This window comes from Homo sapiens, chromosome 19 (genome assembly GCF_000001405.40).
Source record: "Homo sapiens chromosome 19, GRCh38.p14 Primary Assembly".
NCBI lineage: Eukaryota > Metazoa > Chordata > Mammalia > Primates > Hominidae > Homo > Homo sapiens.
The window spans coordinates 19,511,658-19,528,691 of NC_000019.10; the positions used below are offsets into that span (position 1 = coordinate 19,511,658).

The window sequence follows — 17,034 nt, forward strand, 5'->3', positions numbered from 1 at the left end:
CTGCAAAACTGAAGGGGACAGGGCCATGTATCTATTTGGAGGGATGAAGATAGAGCTGGCACTGCATCACCAGGGCACCAGAAAGCCATTGAGACTGAGTGAGCAGGGGCTGGGCATGGGGAGACCCACCAGAGGAGCAGCTATGTAGGGCTCATATGCAGGTAGGCACGATTAGGATTTCCTAATATACCTAATACATTTCCCCATATACCCCAAATGGGAACCACTCCCAGGCTCTGTGGGGTCCTCTCTCAATTTCCTCCTTACCTTGCCATCTCCTTTCCCTCTCTCCCTCCTTATTCCAGGCAAATAAGCTTACTGGCCTTACTCAAACACGCCAGCTCCCCTCTTCCTGGGGAACAACCTGGACTGTTTCTCTTACCTTCAGAGTCCCTTGACTTTTTTTTTTTTTTTTTTTTTCTGAGACAGGGTCTCACTCTGTGGTCCAGGCTGGAGTGCAGTGGCACGATCATAGCTCACTGCAGCCTTGAACTCCCAGGCCCAAGCGATTCTCCCACCTCACCCTCCCAAGTAACTGAGACACACCACCATGCCTGGCTAATTTTTAAATTTTTTGTACAGATGGCCGTCTCGCTGTGTTGCCCAGATTGGTCTTTAACTCCTGGGCTCAAGCGATCCGCCCACCTCAGCTTCCCAAAGTTCTGGAATTATAGGCGTGAGCTGCCACGCCCTGCCCAGAGTCCCTCCTTGAACACCTCCCAACTCTACCTGGCATTTAGCACAACTTACAATTATTTTATTTCCATGTCATTCTTTTATTTTACTTGACTTTTCAATTGTCTCGTTTTCGGCAGGGATGGGCCCAAGTCTCTTCGCCATGAGCTCTGGGGCCTGGCAGACAGTAGGTGCTCAAGAAATGCATGACTACATGAAGGAACAGAGGAAGGAACGAGCTAGTGAGTCCAGCTGAATCTCGCCCAGCCCCGCCCTGACTCCCCCACCCCCTCTTCCCGAGAGGAAAGGGACCCACAGCAGGGAGGGCTTCCCCCACCCCCGCAACGTCACTGTTGCTAGATCTGGGTTCAAATTACAGCTGTGAGCCGGGTGAAGTGGCTCATGCCTGTAACTCCAGCACTTTGGGGAGGTCGAGGCAGGTGGATCGCCTGAGGTCAGGAGTTCGAGACCAGCCTGGCCAACATGGTGAAACCCTGTCTCCACTAAAAATACAAAAAATTAGCCAGGCGTGGTTGCCTGCGCCTGTAGTCTCAGCTACTCAGGAGGCAGAGGCATGAGAATTGCTTGAACCCGGGTAGAGACTGCAGTGAGCCAAGATCGTGCCACTCCAGCCTGGGCAACAAAGAGAGACCTTGTCCTAAAAAAAAAAAAAAAAAAAAAAAAAAAAAATCACAGCTGTGTCTTTTTTGTTTGTTTTTTGAGACGGAGTTTCGCTCTTGTTGCCCACGGTGGACTGCAGTGACACGATCTCGGCTCACTGCAACCTCCCCCTCCCGGGTTCAAGCGATTCTTCCGCCTCAGCCTCCGAGTAGCTGAGATTACAGGCGCCCGCCCCCGTGCCCAGCTAAATTTTTTTTGTATTTTTAGTAGAGACGGGGTTTCACTATATTGGCCAGGCTGGTCTCGAACTCCTGACCTCAGGTGATCCACCCGCCTTGGCCTCCCGAAGTGCTGGGATTACAGGCGTGAGCACCGCGCCCGGGGTTTTTCTTTTTCTTTCTTTTTTCTTTTCCTTTTTTTTTTTTTTTTTTTTTTTTAAGAGGCAGGGTCCAGGGCGCGTTGGCTCACGCCTGTAATCCCAACACTTTGAGAGGCCGAGGCGGGTGGATCACGAAGTCAGGAGTTCAAGACCAGCCTGGCCAAGATGGTGAAACCCCGTCTCTACTAAAAATACAAAAATTAGCCGGGTGGGGGGACACGCGCCTGTAGTCCCAGCTACTTGGGAGGCTAAGGCGGGAGAATCGCTTGAACCCGGGAGGCGGAGGTTGCAGTGAGCCGAGATCGTGCCACTGCACTCCAGCTTGGGCGACAGAGCGAGACTCTGTCTCAAAAAACAAACAAACAAACAAACAAACAAACAAGAGATGAGGTCTCGGCTGTGATGCCCAGGCTGTTTTCGAACTCCTGACCTCAAGATATCTGCCCGCTTCGGACTCGCAGTGTTGGGGTTACAGGCGTGAGCCACCGCGCCTGGCCCTTGGCTCTGCCTTTTGGCAAGTGACATCCATGTGGGCCTCAGTTTCCTTATCTATAAACTCCTACTTTACGTGGAGACAGGCCACCCTCGCCCCACCCCTGGCTGTTCCATTCTTAAAAGATGTGGACGGCGAGGCGCTGGGGTCCACTTGCTTCCCAGCCCATCATCACAGCGACATCACGACCCGGGGACAACAAAGCTCCTTTGAGTTTGCCCATACTGGGGAGCTCAAAAGGTCCAGGCTCGAATCCTCCCGACTCCCTTTTGAGTCTTGGAGCAATAACCTCAACATGCGTGACTCTAAAATAGGGTACCCGCGCCTGCCTTCCCCGGATGGAGCGATCGCTTCTCCACTAGTCCGCAAATGGGGGCCACCGTTAGAGCCAGGTGCGAGGAACAGCGAGTTTATTGCAGGTTCCAACCGGGAACCTGGCACCCACGGCTGGTTGGGAAGGGACGCCCTCCGCGCAGAGGCTGAGAGTTCCGCGCAGGCGCAATGCTTCCGTCCCCTCTGGTCTCGCCCTCTCGGGGCCTGGTCGCAGGGAATCGCGGATGCGCATGCGCCTCCAGCTCCCGGGATCGCGGGGAACGTGGATTCCGAACAAGGGCAACTGCGGACTCCCCCGTGGGAAGAAAGGGAGGGAAGCGGAAGGGAAAAAGCGCATGTGCAGCAGCACGCGGCAGCTTCGCATATTCCCTCGAAGCGCGCCTCTTGCGCGTGCGCCGCCCTGGCCCAGTGCCCTTGGCTGCAGGAATGGCTGGAACCACCCGGCTTCTAGCCGGAGTCCCCGGCGCGCAGCCAGCAGTTGCGCGCTACCTGGCCCGCGGAGGGCCTGGCGGACGGGCTGAACTGCAGCAGCTCGGCGATCAGGGCCTTGCAGCGCTCGGACAGCTCGAGGCCTTCGGGATAGAGCACGCCGCGTTTCTGGCGCCGGGGCAGGCCGGCGATGTCCGAGTCGTCGAAGGGCATGCACCCGGTGACCATGACGTAGAGCACGACGCCCATGCTCCACACATCGTACTTCTTGGGGTCGTAGGGGATGCCCAGGAGCACCTCGGGTGACGCGTAGGCGGCTGAGCCGCAGTAGGTGGTGCTCAGGTCTGGGTAGCCATGGGCCTGGCGGCCGAAGCCGAAGTCGGTGAGCTTGACGCGGCGCTCGTCCGGGCTCAGCAGCACGTTTTCGCACTTGAGGTCGCGGTGCACCAGGTGATGATCGTGCAGGTAGCGCACGGCGCCGGCGATCTGCGCAAAGAGGTCGCGCGCCTGAACTCCGGGGATGCGCCCGTTGCGCTGCACGGCTTGCAGCAGGTCGGTGGCGGCCGCTTCCATCACGATGTACAGTTTCCCGTTGCACACCTCGATGAACTCGAAGACGTGCACGATGTGCGGGTGTCGCACGCCCCGCAGGATGGACAGCTCTCGCGGCAGGAACTTGTTGACGAAGTCCGGGGGCGCTCGCCGCCGGTCCACCACCTTGATGGCCACGGTACCCTTGTACTTCTTGGATGTGGCCACCTTCACCTTGGAGTAGCTGCCCTCTCCAATTGTGCGGCCCAGCTTATAACCGAGTTCGCTCAGAAGTTTGTCTCCCGACATGGTGGCGCCTAGGGCGCACGGGGGGCAGGAGGCGGCTGCTGTCGGGGGGCGGCCGGACTCCAATCTCGGGTCTAAGCCATGGCGCTTGGCACCTACACCCCCGCACCCCCATGTGCCCACTGCCAGACATTGGCCGCTGTTGTGCCTTTTATTGCCCCGTAACAATTTTTGCCTTGTGAAGTGACTGCGGGCGTCACTCCGCCTTAGGGTGGGGGTCCGGGACCCCGCCCCGGGGCCACCCTAGCCTCCCTGCTTTGTGACTCATAATCATCCTGAATGGTCAGTTTCCGATGAGAGGCCACTAGCAAGGGATACCCATCACCACCAGGGAGCAGAATCCGTTCCAGGGATTGGGGTGAGTCCGACTTCGAGCAGCAGCTGCCCCCCAACATCATGTACCCAGCCCGTGACTACGTGGAGCCCTGGGCTTCGCGTAGAGTCCCTAGACGGGGCGAAAACGGGAAAAGGGGCCTTAACTGGGGCACCTGGCTCCTTTGAGAGCTCGGAGTTTCTGACTGGCCTGCGCAACACCCCAGAGGCAAGGTGAACGCGAGGGCCTATAATGCAAGAACCAAGGCGAGTCACGCCCTGTCTGGGCAAAAGAGGAGTAAAGACCCCTCAGCTGCAGCCCGGCAGCGCATTCCTACCCAGGGTCCGCCGCCAGAGCTTTCCCGCGCGGTCGGATAGTTACACTACTGTCCGGGACTTCCTAGCCGTGCCGCGGACCATCTCAAGTGCTTCCGCCACACTCATCATGGCGGTGGCAGTAAGTCACTTCCGCCCGGGACCGGAAGTGTGGGATACTGCGAGTATGGCGGCGTCAAAGGTGAAGCAGGACATGCCTCCGCCGGGGGGCTATGGGCCCATCGACTACAAACGGAACTTGCCGCGTCGAGGACTGTCGGGTCAGTATCACTCTGCGCCGGGGTCTCAGAGTCTGGGCACTCGGGGCTCGGGGGCGGGGTTCCGGGGACACAGGCGGGCCTCAGTTTTCCCGGCGGTGTGACCGGAGGCGGAGCCCGGGGATCCATCATAGCTTCTGTAATAACGCTAAGTGCTGCAGTTTGTTGAGGTCTTTCCCAGCTCCTCTTCCTTCTCGTAACAGCCCAGGAAATCGGTCCCTCTAGTTATTTACGTTTTACAGTGGGTTAAACTGAGTCATAGCCTGTGCTCTGGCCCTCAGCCACCCTTGGATTTCTAAGATGGGGAAACTGAGGCCCAAAGAAGGCCGCGGCTCCCCAAGGCAAAGCTGAGGCCGCAACCCGGAACCTGGAGGGAATTTACAAGATGTTCTATGCAGTGGTTCCCTGCTGGCAGCCCCCGCCTGCATGGTGTCACAGGAATCCATATTCTTTAAATTTTCAATTTTTTTTTTTTGAGACGGAGTTTTGCTCTTGTTGCCCAGGCTGGAGTGCAATGGCGCCATCTCGGCTCACCGCAACCTCCGCCTCCTGGGTTCAAGCGATTCTCTTGCCTCAGCCTCCTGAGTAGCTGGGATTACAGGCATGTGCCACAACGCCTGGCTAACTTTGTGTTTTTAGTAGAGACGGGGTTTCTCCATGTTGGTCAGGGTGGTCTCGAACTCCCAACCTCGGATGATCCGCCCACCTCGGCCTCCCAAAGTGCTGGGATTACAGGCGTGAGCCACCATGCCCGGCGTAAAGTTTTCAAATGTTTAAGTAACACGTTAAATTTTGTTATCGGGCTCAGCACAGAAAATTGAAAAAGAGAACTTAAAAGGCGCCCATACTCAGTCCCCAGGTTAACAGACAAATAGAAACTTTTAAACGTAATCTAAGAGTGAATACATACATTTCTTTTTTTTTTTTTAAGACGGTATGGTTCTGTTGCCTGGGCTGGAGTGATTTCTTGGCAACCTCCGCCTCCTGGGCTCAAGCCATCCTCCCACCCCAGCCTCCTGAGAAGCTGGGATTACAAGCATGCGCCCAGCTTTCTGTATTTTCTATAGAGATGGGATCTCGCCATCTTGCCCAGGCTGGTCTCGAAGTCCTGGGCTCAAGTGATCCACCCACCTCGGCTTCCCAAAGTGATGGGACTATCGGCATGAGCTACCGTGCTCGGCAGAATGCATGTCTCTTAACAAATCAAACTTTACATTTAAATTACATGTTATGCACATTATTCCTCAATTTTAACACACACACAAAAATGAGCATGGTAATTAAAAACGTAATAATTCAGACAGTAGAAAAATCAGTGTGAGGTGAAAAGTCCTCCCCAGCCCCTTCTTGGTTTTTTTATTTTTTATTTCTACTTTTTGTAGAGACAGGGTGCAGCTATGTTGACCAGGCTGGTCTCAAACTCCTGGGCTCAAGTGATCCTCCAGCCTCAGCCTCCCAAAGTGCTGGAATTACAGGCATGAGCCACCGCGGCCAACCTCCTCTTGTTTTTCTTGTATCCCAGAACTGAGATTGGCAGACTTTTTCTATAAAAGGGACAGATGACAAGTATTTTGGGTTTGGCTGGCCAGAAAGTTTCAGTTACTGAGACAACCATTTACAAATGGAAAGTGTTCTTAGCCTGGGGGCTCTACAAAAACAGATTGCCTGTGAGCCAGGTGGCTCATGCCTGTAATCCCCACACTTTGGGAGGCTGAAGCGGGAGGATGGCTTGAGCCCAGGAGTTTGTGACCAGCCTGGGCAACATAGTGAGACCCCCACCTCTACCAAAAATTAAAAAAAAAAAAAAGAGGCTTCAGGCTAGATCTGGCCCATGAGTGCTGTCCCAGAACACATTGGAGGAATATAATGCATTCTATTTCCTCATTTTTCTTTTTTCTTTTCTTTCTTTCTTTTTTATTTTTTGAGACAGAGTCTCATTCTGTCACCCAGGCTAGAGTGCAGTGGCCCGATCTTGGCTCACTGCAACCTCCACCTCCTGGGTTCAAGCAATTCTCCTGTCTCAGCCTCCCGAGTAGCTGGGAGTACAGTTGGATGCCACCACATCCGGCTAATTTTTGTATTTTTAGTAGAGATGGGGTTTCACCATATTGGTCAGACTGGTCTCGAACTCCTGACCTCAGGTTATCCACCCACCTCGGCCTCCCAAAGTGCTAATATTGCAGGCACGACCCACCACGCCTGGCGTTGTTTGTTTTTTGGTTGTTGTTTTTTGTGTGTGTGTTTTTTTTTTTTAGACCAGGTCTTGCTCTGTCACCCAGGCTGGAGTGCAGTGGCGTGATCTCGGCTCACTGCAACCTGTGCCTCCCAGGTTCAAGCGATTCTCCTCCCTCGGCCTCCCTAGTATCTGGGATTACAGGTGGGCGCCACCATGCCCTGCGATTTTTTTTTTTTTTTTTTTTTTTTTTTTTGAGATGGAGTTTTCACTTTTATTGCCCAGGCTAGAGTGCAATGGTGCAATCTTGGCTCACCGCAACCTCTGCCTCCCAGGTTTAAGCGATTCTCCTGTCTCAGCCTCCCGAATAGCTAGGATTACAGGCATGTGCCACCATGCACAGCTAATTTTTTGTATTTTTAGTAGAGATGGGGTTTCTCCATGTTGGTCAGGCTGGTCTCAAACTCCTGACCTCAGATGATCTGCCCGCCTTGGTCTCCCAAAGTGGTGGGATTACAGGTGTGAGCCACTGGGCCCGGCCTATTTTTTTTTTTTTTTTTGTATTTTTAGTAGTGACAGGGTTTCACCATGTAGGCCAGGCTGGTCTCGAACTCCTGACCTCAGGTGGTCCCCCTGCCTCAGCCGCCCAAAGTGCTGGTATTACAGGCATGAGCCACCACGCCTGGCCGAGTCTCATTCTTCTCCGGTGTAACCTGGGCTACCCCACCCCTTCAGGTGTGCAGCACAAGGTCTGTTTCCAAATATGCACCTGTGTGACCTGCAGCCAGACCAGGCCACAGAAGGACCTCAGGCCTGGAGGCTCCCTGAGCTCCCTGCTTCCAGCATCTCATTTTTGTATAAATACCCTGGTCCTCTCCCAGTTCACCACAGAGCAGTGGCCCCCCCTGTGCCAGACAGTGCCCTAAATACCACTGCCTGGGGTTGTGTCTCCTAATGGTGTGGACTTTTGTTACAGCACATACACACCCACCCCAGCCTTTCCCGGTGGAGGAGTGAGGAGGATACCCCTATGCTGGTGTGCTCTTTGTTTATGGCCCTGCTTTCATTGTTGAGTGAGCACATGGTTCCGGGCCCTGTCCCCAAGCGCTCACAGCTGAGCTGAAGAGATACAACACATCATGCCAGGATTTCTAGTTGTTGGTGAGGCCTGGGATAACCTGGGCCCACTTAAGCCAGGATGTGCCAGGAGGACCTCTGAGAAGAAGCCTGCTCTGCAGAAAAAGAGCAAACACACAGGCCCTGCCTCCTCTCCCTCTGTCCTCCTCTCCTGCCTCTCCTGAGCCATGGTCCACAGTGGCCTTCCCACCAGACCTACCTTCTGTGCTCCTGTCCAAGGCCTGGTGGCCCCAAGCCTGGCACCCACTCCCTTCTGTCTGCCTGGGTCAGCCATTCACTCACTGCCAGCGTCCCAGGACATGATGGGCTGGCTCAGGCTGCTTTTTGTTCTCTTTTTTTTTTTTTTTTTTTTTGAGACAGAGTCTTGTTCTGTCACTCAGGCTGGAGTGCAGTGGCGCGATCTCAGCTCACTGCAAGGATGGTCTCGATCTCCTGACCTCATGATCCACCTACCTCAACCTCCCAAAGTGCTGGGATTACAGGCATGAGCCACTGCGCCCGGCTGGCTCAGGCCCCTTTTAATCCATGCCGCTTCTGAAGTGACTTCACCCCACCTCCTCCACTATCTCCCACACCCAGTTCTCCTGTCCCCACTCCCTCCTGAGCCTAGCAGGCAGCCCTTTCCTTTTCATCTTGTGTCTTTAATATATTTATTGAGGTTCCAATACCATACCACACAACTCACCCATTTAAAGTCTGTCCAATTTAATGGCTGTGAGCGGTGGCTCATGCCTGTAATCTCAGCCCTTTGAGGACAAAGCGGATGGATCACCTGAGCTCAGGAGTTGGAGACCAACCTGGCCAACATGGCAAAACCCTGTCTCTACTAAAAATACAAAAGTTAGTCGGGTATGGTGGTGCACACCTGTAATCCCAGCTACTTGGGAGGCTCAAGCAGGAGAATCGCTTGAACCTGGAAGGCGGAGGTTGCAGTGAGCCAAGATCTTGCCTCTGCACTCCAGCCTGGGCAACAGAGTAAGACTCCATCTCAAAAAAAATAATAATAATATAGTGAAGTGTGTCCAATTTATTGATTTTTTAGTATATTCACAAAGTTGTATGGCCATTGCCATGATCAGAATTTAGACCACTTTCATTACCCAAAAGAAACCCCGTCTTCCCTATTAGCAATCATCCCACCCCTGGCAAACACTAATCTGCTTCCTTCTCTGTGGATTTGCCTGTTCTGGCCATTTCCTATCAGTGAAGTCATAGACCGTGTGGCCTTTTGTTTCTGGCAAATTAATATCCAGCACCAAGTGTTGTGTTTTCATTTTTTGATGGGCACTTGGGTCATCCACCTACTCTTTGGCTGCTGTGAATAATGTGAGTATGGCTGCCATGAAGATTCATGCTGTACAGGTGTTTGTATGGATGTAGATTTTCATTTTTCCCTTGTGAACTTTCCCCTAAGAGAGAAACCACTGGATCATATGGTAACTTCGTGTTTAACATTTTGAGGAACTGCCAAATTGTTTTCCAAATTGGCTGCACCATTTTGTGCTTCCACCTGCAATGTATGAGAGTCCCAATTTCTCCACGTCTCAACAACACTGATTATTTTCCATTTTTTTGATCATAGCCACCATCCTAGCGCATGTGAAGCGGTATTTCATTATGGTGGAGTTTTTTAAAATTCTTTTTGGGTCTTTTTTTGCTCAGTTTTCTGGTCATTGATCGTTGATTTGCATATCACTGCTGGCTGATGATGTCGAACATTTTTTCATGTGTTTTATTATTTTTATTTTTTATTATTTTTTTCAAGAGATGGGGCCTCAGTGTTTCCCAGGCTGGTGTCGAACTCCTGGGCTCAAGCTGTCCTCCCGCCTCAGCCTCTCAAAGTGCTGAGATTCTAGGAGTGAACCACCACCTTTGCATGTGTTTATTGGCCATTTGTATGTCTGTCTGTGAGAAACGTCTATTCAAATCCTTTATATATTTTTAGTAGGGTTTTTTGTTTGTTTGTTCGTTTGTTTGTTTTGAGATGGAGTCTTGCTCTGTCGCCCGGGCTGGAGTGTAGTGGCACGATCTCTGCTCACTGCAAGCTCCGCCTCCCGGGTTCACGCCATTCTCCTGCCTCAGCTTCCCGAGTAGCTGGGACTTCAGGCACCTGCCACTGCGCCCGGCTAATTTTTTGCATTTTTAGTAGAGACGGGGTTTCACTGTGTTAGCCAGGATCGTCTCGATCTCCTGACCTCGTGATCCGCCCGCCTCGGCCTCCCAAAGTGCTGGGATTACAGGTGTGAGCCACTGCGCCCGGCTTAGTAGGGTTTTTTAAATTATTGAATTATTGAGTTGTAAGATTGTGTATACATATGTTGTCTTCTCAGCTAATTGATAGTTTCATTTACAGCACAAAAGTTTTTAATTTCAATAAAGTCCGGGCTGGGCACGGTGGCTCATGCCTGTAATTCCAGCACTTTGGGGGGCAGAGGCAGGTGGATCACTTGAGGTCAGGAGTTTGAGACCAGCCTGGCCAATATGGCAAAACCCCATCTCTACTAAAAATACAAAAATTAGCTGGGCGCGGTGGCGGGCACCTGTAGTCCCAGCTACTCAGGAGGCTGAGGCAGGAGAATGGCGTGAACCCGGGAGGCGGAGCTTGCAGTGAGCCGAGATTGTGCCACTGCACTTCAGCCTGGGCCACAGAGTGAGACTCCATCTCAAAAATACATGTATAATAATAATTTCAATGAAGTCCAATTTCTGTATTTTTCCTTTTGTCACTTGTGCTTCTGGTGTCATATCTAAGAAACCTAGTTTGAGGTCACAGAGAGTGACTTACATTTTCTTCTAAGAGTATTATAGTTTCAGCTCTTACGCTTAGGTCTTTGATCCTTTTTTTTTTTTTTTTTTTGAGATGGAGCCTTGCTCTGTCACACAGGCTGGAGTGCAGTGGCGCGATCTAGGCTCACTGCAAGCTCCGCCTCCCGGGTTCACGCCATTCTCCTGCCTCAGCCTCCTGAGTAGCGGGGACTACAAGTGCCAGCCACCACGCCCGGCTAATTTTTTGTATTTTTAGTAGAGACAGGGTTTCACCGTGTTAGCCAGGATGGTCTCGATCTCCTGACCTCGTGATCCGCCTGCCTTGGCCTCCCAAAGTGCTAGAATTACAGGCGTGAGCCACTGCGCCCGGCAGGTCTTTGATCCTTTTGAGTTAATTTTTGTGGATGGTATAAAGAAGGAACGCATCCTCATTCTTTAGCATGTGGCTGTCTGGTTATCCCATTTGTTGAAAAGACTGTTTTCTCTCCCATTGAATTATCTTGGCACCTTTGTCCAAAATCAATTGACCATAAATGTGAGGGTTTATTTCTGGACTCTCAGTTCTGTTCCATTGATGAACATCTCTGTCCTATGCCAGTGCCACACTGTCTTGTACACACAGCTGTGGGATAAGTTTTGAAATACTGAAGTGTGAGTCTTTCAACTTTGTTCTTTTTCAAAATTGTTTTGGCTGTTCTGGTCCCTTGCATTTCCATATGAATTTCCCAACCTGCTTGTCAGTTTCTGCAACAGGAAAAGAAATGGTTGGGATTCTGATGGGGATTGCGTTTCAAATCTGTATCAGTTTGCACAGCGTTGCCATCTGCACAATGCTAAGTGCTCCAATTCTTGAACACAGGATGGGTTTTTATTTATTTTGGTCTTCTCTTAAGAATGGCCAAGGCCGGGCTCAGTGGCTCATACTGGTAGTCCCAACACTCTGGGAGGCTGAGGTGGGAGGATTGCTTGAGGCCAGGAGTTCAAGACCAGCCTGGGCAACATAGCAAGACCCTGTTTCTATGAAAAATATATTTTTCTTTTTTTTTTGTTTTTGTTTTTGGTTTTGTTTTCTGAAACAAAGTTTTCTCTGTCACCTAGGCTGGAGTACAGTGGTGCCATCTCAGCCCACTGCAACCTTGACTTCTTGGGCTTAAGTGATACTCCCACTTCAGCCACCCAAGTAGGTGGGACCACAGATACGTGCCACCACATCTAGCTAATTTAAAAATATGTATTTTGGGCCGGGCATGGTGGCTCATGCCTGTAATCCTAGCACTTTGGGAGGCCGAGGAAGATGGATTTACCTGAGGTTGGGAGTTCCAGACCAGCCTGGCCAACATGGTGAAACCTCGTCTCTACTAAAAAATACAAAAATTTAGCTGGGCACAGTGGCGTGCACCTGTAATTCCAGCTATTCAGGAAGCTGAGGCAGGAAAATCACTTGAACCTGGGAGGCGGAGGTTGCAGTGGGCTGAGATCGCACCACTGCACTTTAGCCTGGGCTACAGAGCGAGACTTTGTCTCAAAAAATAAAATAAAATACGTATTTTGTAAATGTTTCACTGTGTTGCACAGGCTAGTTGCAAACTCCTAGTCAAGTGATCCTCTCACCTCAGCCTCCCAAAATGCTGGGATTACAAGCGTGAGCCGAAAAAATTTGATCCCACCACTGCACTCCAGCCTGGACAACAGAGAGAGGCCCGGTCTCCAAAACCAAAAACAAAAAGAATGGTCCACACACCCTTTTGTGCGTGCCCCTCACCATGTTCCCCACCAGACTAGCAGTTCCTAAGGCACAGACTCTGAGGCCTGGGGCCTTGGCCCCCCTGTGGTTGGCGAGGAGGAAGAGCCCTGTGCAGGCTGCATGCAAATACAAGAGGCCCTGCATTGTTTCTGTCATCTCATACATCTCTGTTCTATGCCAGTGCCACGCTGTCTTGTACACACAGCTGTGGGATAAGTTTTGGAATTTATTTCTTCTTTGGAATTTATCTTACAGATGGGCCTGCGTATGAGTGCGCAGGTGTGAGGGTGCAGGTTCTCCCCAAGGGCCCATTTTCTGCACCAGAAGGCTGAGGGCAGCCCAGGTCTGTCCCCTGGGTTCTCTGTAGCCGTGGAAAATAATGAGATATGGCCGGGCACGGTGGCTCACGCCTGTAATGCCAGCACTTGCAGGTGGATCATGAGGTCAGGAGGTCGTAACCAGCCTGGCCAATATGGTGAAACCCTGTCTCTACTAAAAATACAAAAATTAGCCTGGCGTGGTGGTGGGCGCCTGTAGTCCCAACTACTCCGGAGGCTGAGGTGGAAGAATCGCTTGAACCCAGGAGGCAGAGGTTGCAGTGAGCCAAGATCTTGCCACTGCACCCCAGCCAGGGCAACAGAGTGAGATTCCGTCTCAAAAATAAATTAATTAAAAAAAAGAAAAGAACGAGATATGACCAGCCTGGGCAATATAGCAAGACCCCATCTGTACAAAAATTAGTTAACTGGACATGGCACACACCTGGGGTCCCAGTTACTCGGGAGGCTAAAGTGGAAGGATCACTTGAACCCAGGAGTTGGAGGCTGCATTGAGCCATGATTGCGCCCCTGCACTCCAGCCTGGGTAGCAGAGTGAGACCTTGTCTCAAAACCAAAAACCAAAAAAGGAAAAAAAAATGAACAAGGCAGCTGATGAAACCTCCCATGTGCTAGACAGGAGGCTGAGAGCTGGGAGCTGGCCCTGAGCACCCTGGGCCTCTCCAGAGATGTGCCTCTGAGCCCGGACCCAGCACACCCTCATTACCTGTAGTATGGAAATGTCTTAGCCCTGACTTGGGCTTCTAACAGGTTAAATAACCAGGTACAAATTTGAGCCAGTTTCTCATTTATCTCCGGGTCTAGCAGAGGTGCCCCCGTGAGCTCCATGCTGGAGCAGAGCTGAAGGCAGAAGAGCATGACAGGTGCAGAGCAGGGCCCGGCAGGCACAGAGTAGCCCCAGCAGGCATAGAGCAGGGCCAGTGCCCTGGAGGCCTGGAGATGGCCTTGCCTTCCACCTGCTGGTCATTTCCTGGGTGTTGACTGGAGCCTGGCCTACCTGAGCTTTTCATTCATCCCACCAAGTGCAAAGCCTGTCCAGAGAAGAGACTGGGGCTGGAAGGATCTGGAGGGTGCAGGGTGAGCCTGGGAGCCAGATCCCAGACAGCCCAGGCCTCTCTGAAGATCCCAGTGGGCCCCCAGCCTGTCAGTCAGGATTAGAGCAAGGCCCCACTGGTGCTCAGTAAATATTCATGATGGCCTAGGTCCTTCCTGGGGTGCAGGGCAGGGGGCTTCACCCTGCAGAGCCAAGAGGTAGCACGGCCACCCCTAGAGTCCGGGGGGTGGCTGGGCAGCCCCCACAGGGCACTGCCTGTCCCTGGCAGCTGTGTGCAGCCCCCGCAGGGCAGCACGCGGAACTGTGGCCCAGGTGGCCGGGAGCCACCATGGACACTGTCAGAACTGCCCTTCCACTTCAGGGCCAGCCTGCCGCCCAGGGTCCAAACAGCCTTCTAGAACACGATGGACCTGGGGCCCCCCTAGCAACCACCATCTAGACCCTCAGGCCTCCTGAGGTTGCTGCCTGGCTTGTACCTTTCAGAAAACCCCTGGCATGGGGGCAGAGGTGTCACAGTCCAAGCAGCCTCACTCCTGAGAAGCCGCCAGTGTCCCCTGATTGCAGAGTGGGCAGCGCCTGGAGCTGTGGAGGAGGGTGTCTGGGGGCGGGCTGGCCCGCTGAGCAGCGCCTCTCTTCACAGGCTACAGCATGCTGGCCATAGGGATTGGAACCCTGATCTACGGGCACTGGAGCATAATGAAGTGGAACCGTGAGCGCAGGTAGGGCCCCTGGTGGGCGTTGTCTGAAAGTGCCCCCCCGGCGAGTTGTCGGGGTCCTGTAGCATTCCGCTGTTGTCTGTGCTGGCGAGGGGTGAACGGGCCCCTTGGACTTGGCTGTGCAATCCCAGGCCCCAGAAAGTGCAGATCCAGACCCAGCACTTCCACTTCTAGGCTCTGTCCTCGAGATGTCTCCATGTCTGCAATCCCAGCACTTTGGGAGGCCAAGGTGGGAGCATTGCTTGAGCCCAGGAGTTCAAGACCAGCCTGGGCAACAGAGGGAAACCCTGTCCTCGCCACCCCAAAAAATGTGTCTAGTGAGGAGGGTTGGGACCCGTGGATCCAGATTAGGACAGGATATGAGTGGGGGGCCTGCCTCGGGCCCTCTAAGCAGGATTTTGTCAGAGGTGACCAGGCTCAAACCAGACCACACCAGGCAGTGGACACACAGGGCCAGATGAACTAGGGCCAGGCGCCCCCCTCTCCCTGTGTCACAGGCTGGGCACTCCTTCCCCACCCCTCCCCCAACCCCAACGCAGGCCAGGCAGGACTGGGAGATGGGGGTCATTGCAGGGAACTTGGAAACTGCCAGAAAGCAGGGAGAAGAAAGGAAAGATTGTGGCCCCGCCTGCCCCAGCCTCACACACTGATTATTTTGAGATGAAGGGGACGTGGTTTTGTGAGGCCCAGAGCCCCGTGATGAAGTCACCCCCTCTTCGTCGCGATCATCAGGCAGAGTTATTTTTAGGATAAAAAAAGTTTTTAATTGAAAAGAAAGTAGAAAGCCAACAGTCTTGTGGGCAGTCACCCGTGCAGCTGCCTGCACCCGCCCTCCTCTCAGGCTCCTGGTGGGCTCTGCCCACAGCCCTTGCCCTTCCCGCGACCCTCGCCCTGCCCCCTGCCTGCCTCCCCGCCCCCCTCCGCCTCTTCCCCCAGCAGCACCCTGGCCCCTGAGGTCTGTGCTGCCTGTGCTCCCCCGACCTAGCCTGGTCTGACCTGAGTGTGGGTTTCGGGCTTTCACAGGCGCCTACAAATCGAGGACTTCGAGGCTCGCATCGCGCTGTTGCCACTGTTACAGGCAGAAACCGACCGGAGGTAGCACCGCAGGGGCCAAGGTTGGGAGGTCACTGGCCGGAAGGCCCCAGGCTGCAGGGCCTGACCTGCATCCCCGAAGGTGGCCAGAATGCACGTGGGGGCCATCGCCCTGTGCCGTCAGCTGCATCCTCAGGCGTGGAGACTTAGTGGAGACCCAAGGGGGCGAACCGGAAGGCTTCCTGGAGGAGGAGGCAGCACTGGGGTTGGGGCAAGAGAAAAGCTAGGAGTTGGCTGGGGGAAAAGGAGACAGGGTCGGAGGGAGGCTTGAAGGGGTGCTACTAGGGGCCCTAGGCAGGGGCCCCTCAGGGCACTGAGGCCCCACCCCCACCATCGGCCCCATCCCCACAGGACCTTGCAGATGCTTCGGGAGAACCTGGAGGAGGAGGCCATCATCATGAAGGACGTGCCCGACTGGAAGGTGGGTCCCGGCTGGGAGGGCAGAGGTGCCAGCCACGGCAGAGACAGGGCCTGGGGTTGGGGAGCTCCCACAGCTTTCTATAGAAACCCCAGGACCAAGGGGGTGGTGGGTGCCAGGTCCCACAAGGGAAGGCTGTAGCGCCTGCCACGCACAGGGGCCACTGATCCTGGGGGATGGGTCCTAGCAGGCTGTATATGGGTGGCTGTGCCTCTACCCATACCCCACTGTCCCCACAGGTGGGGGAGTCTGTGTTCCACACAACCCGCTGGGTGCCCCCCTTGATCGGGGAGCTGTACGGGCTGCGCACCACAGAGGAGGCTCTCCATGCCAGCCACGGCTTCATGTGGTACACGTAGGCCCTGTGCCCTCCGGCCACCTGGATCCCTGCCCCTCCCCACTGGGACGGAATAAATGCTCTGCAGACCTGGCCTGCCTGTTTTCCTGGGGACTGGGGGAAAGAAGGGGGAGAGGGCCCAGCTAGGCACCACCGGATCACATGTAGCATGGGGACGCAGCAGATATGCACAGGGTGACCTCAAAACACACCTAGGGGCTGCCCCTGGATCCACTGGCGGCCTCCTCTCTGCCTCCGATATACCTGGACTCTCCTGCCTCCCTTTTGAAACCATGCCTGTCAGCAGCCCACTTACCTCTCCAGGCTGGGGGCCCCTGGGTCAGCTTTGGGTCAGACCTTCTCCACGGAGGTCTGGAGAGTGGGGGGAGCCTTGACCTCCCGGATACAAGTGATCCTCCCGCCTCAGCCTCCCGTGTCACTGCGATTACAGGATTACAGGCGTGAGCCACCATACCTTGTGCAGCCCTGCCAATTGTAGGCATGGCGAGGGTATTTGTCTGCGGAGGGGCTCCTCGCTCCCTGAGAGGGAAGCTCAGAGACACGGGGATATCTGCAGGGAAAGTAAG

At 53.8% G+C, this 17,034-nt stretch overlaps 2 protein-coding genes across 2 annotated transcripts, besides 5 other annotated features; one reads left to right on the forward strand and one right to left on the reverse strand.

Moving 5' to 3' along the window:
• On the reverse strand, positions 2,562–3,891 carry TSSK6 (testis specific serine kinase 6). The gene has a single exon (NM_032037.4). It carries the CDS (start codon positions 3,768–3,770, stop codon positions 2,949–2,951), a length of 822 nt encoding a protein of 273 aa, NP_114426.1. The 5' UTR covers positions 3,771–3,891; the 3' UTR covers positions 2,562–2,948.
• Positions 4,137–4,256: a silencer, noted in NCBI's record as "silent region_10445". NCBI's record gives its function as "represses an Ori minimal core promoter by ATAC-STARR-seq in GM12878 lymphoblastoid cells {active_cell/tissue: GM12878}" and the evidence as "EXISTENCE:reporter gene assay evidence [ECO:0000049][PMID:35858748]".
• Positions 4,467–4,746: an enhancer, noted in NCBI's record as "active region_14360". NCBI's record gives its function as "activates an Ori minimal core promoter by ATAC-STARR-seq in GM12878 lymphoblastoid cells {active_cell/tissue: GM12878}" and the evidence as "EXISTENCE:reporter gene assay evidence [ECO:0000049][PMID:35858748]".
• Positions 4,568–16,541, forward strand: NDUFA13 (NADH:ubiquinone oxidoreductase subunit A13). Its single transcript, NM_015965.7, has 5 exons — positions 4,568–4,675; positions 14,525–14,603; positions 15,624–15,695; positions 16,044–16,113; positions 16,350–16,541. Exons 1-5 carry the CDS (start codon positions 4,582–4,584, stop codon positions 16,467–16,469), a joined length of 435 nt encoding a protein of 144 aa, NP_057049.5. The 5' UTR covers positions 4,568–4,581; the 3' UTR covers positions 16,470–16,541.
• Positions 13,196–14,171: an enhancer, noted in NCBI's record as "H3K27ac-H3K4me1 hESC enhancer chr19:19635662-19636637 (GRCh37/hg19 assembly coordinates)". NCBI's record gives its function as "activates a minimal SCP1, AML or CMV promoter by ChIP-STARR-seq in primed H9 embryonic stem cells {active_cell/tissue: H9 hESC(primed)}" and the evidence as "EXISTENCE:reporter gene assay evidence [ECO:0000049][PMID:30033119]".
• Positions 14,423–14,717: a silencer, noted in NCBI's record as "tiled region #9511; HepG2 Repressive non-DNase unmatched - State 17:Gen3'". NCBI's record gives its function as "represses a minimal TATA promoter and a strong SV40 promoter by Sharpr-MPRA in HepG2 cells {active_cell/tissue: HepG2}" and the evidence as "EXISTENCE:reporter gene assay evidence [ECO:0000049][PMID:27701403]".
• Positions 16,513–17,013: an enhancer, noted in NCBI's record as "H3K4me1 hESC enhancer chr19:19638979-19639479 (GRCh37/hg19 assembly coordinates)". NCBI's record gives its function as "activates a minimal SCP1, AML or CMV promoter by ChIP-STARR-seq in naive H9 embryonic stem cells {active_cell/tissue: H9 hESC(naive)}" and the evidence as "EXISTENCE:reporter gene assay evidence [ECO:0000049][PMID:30033119]".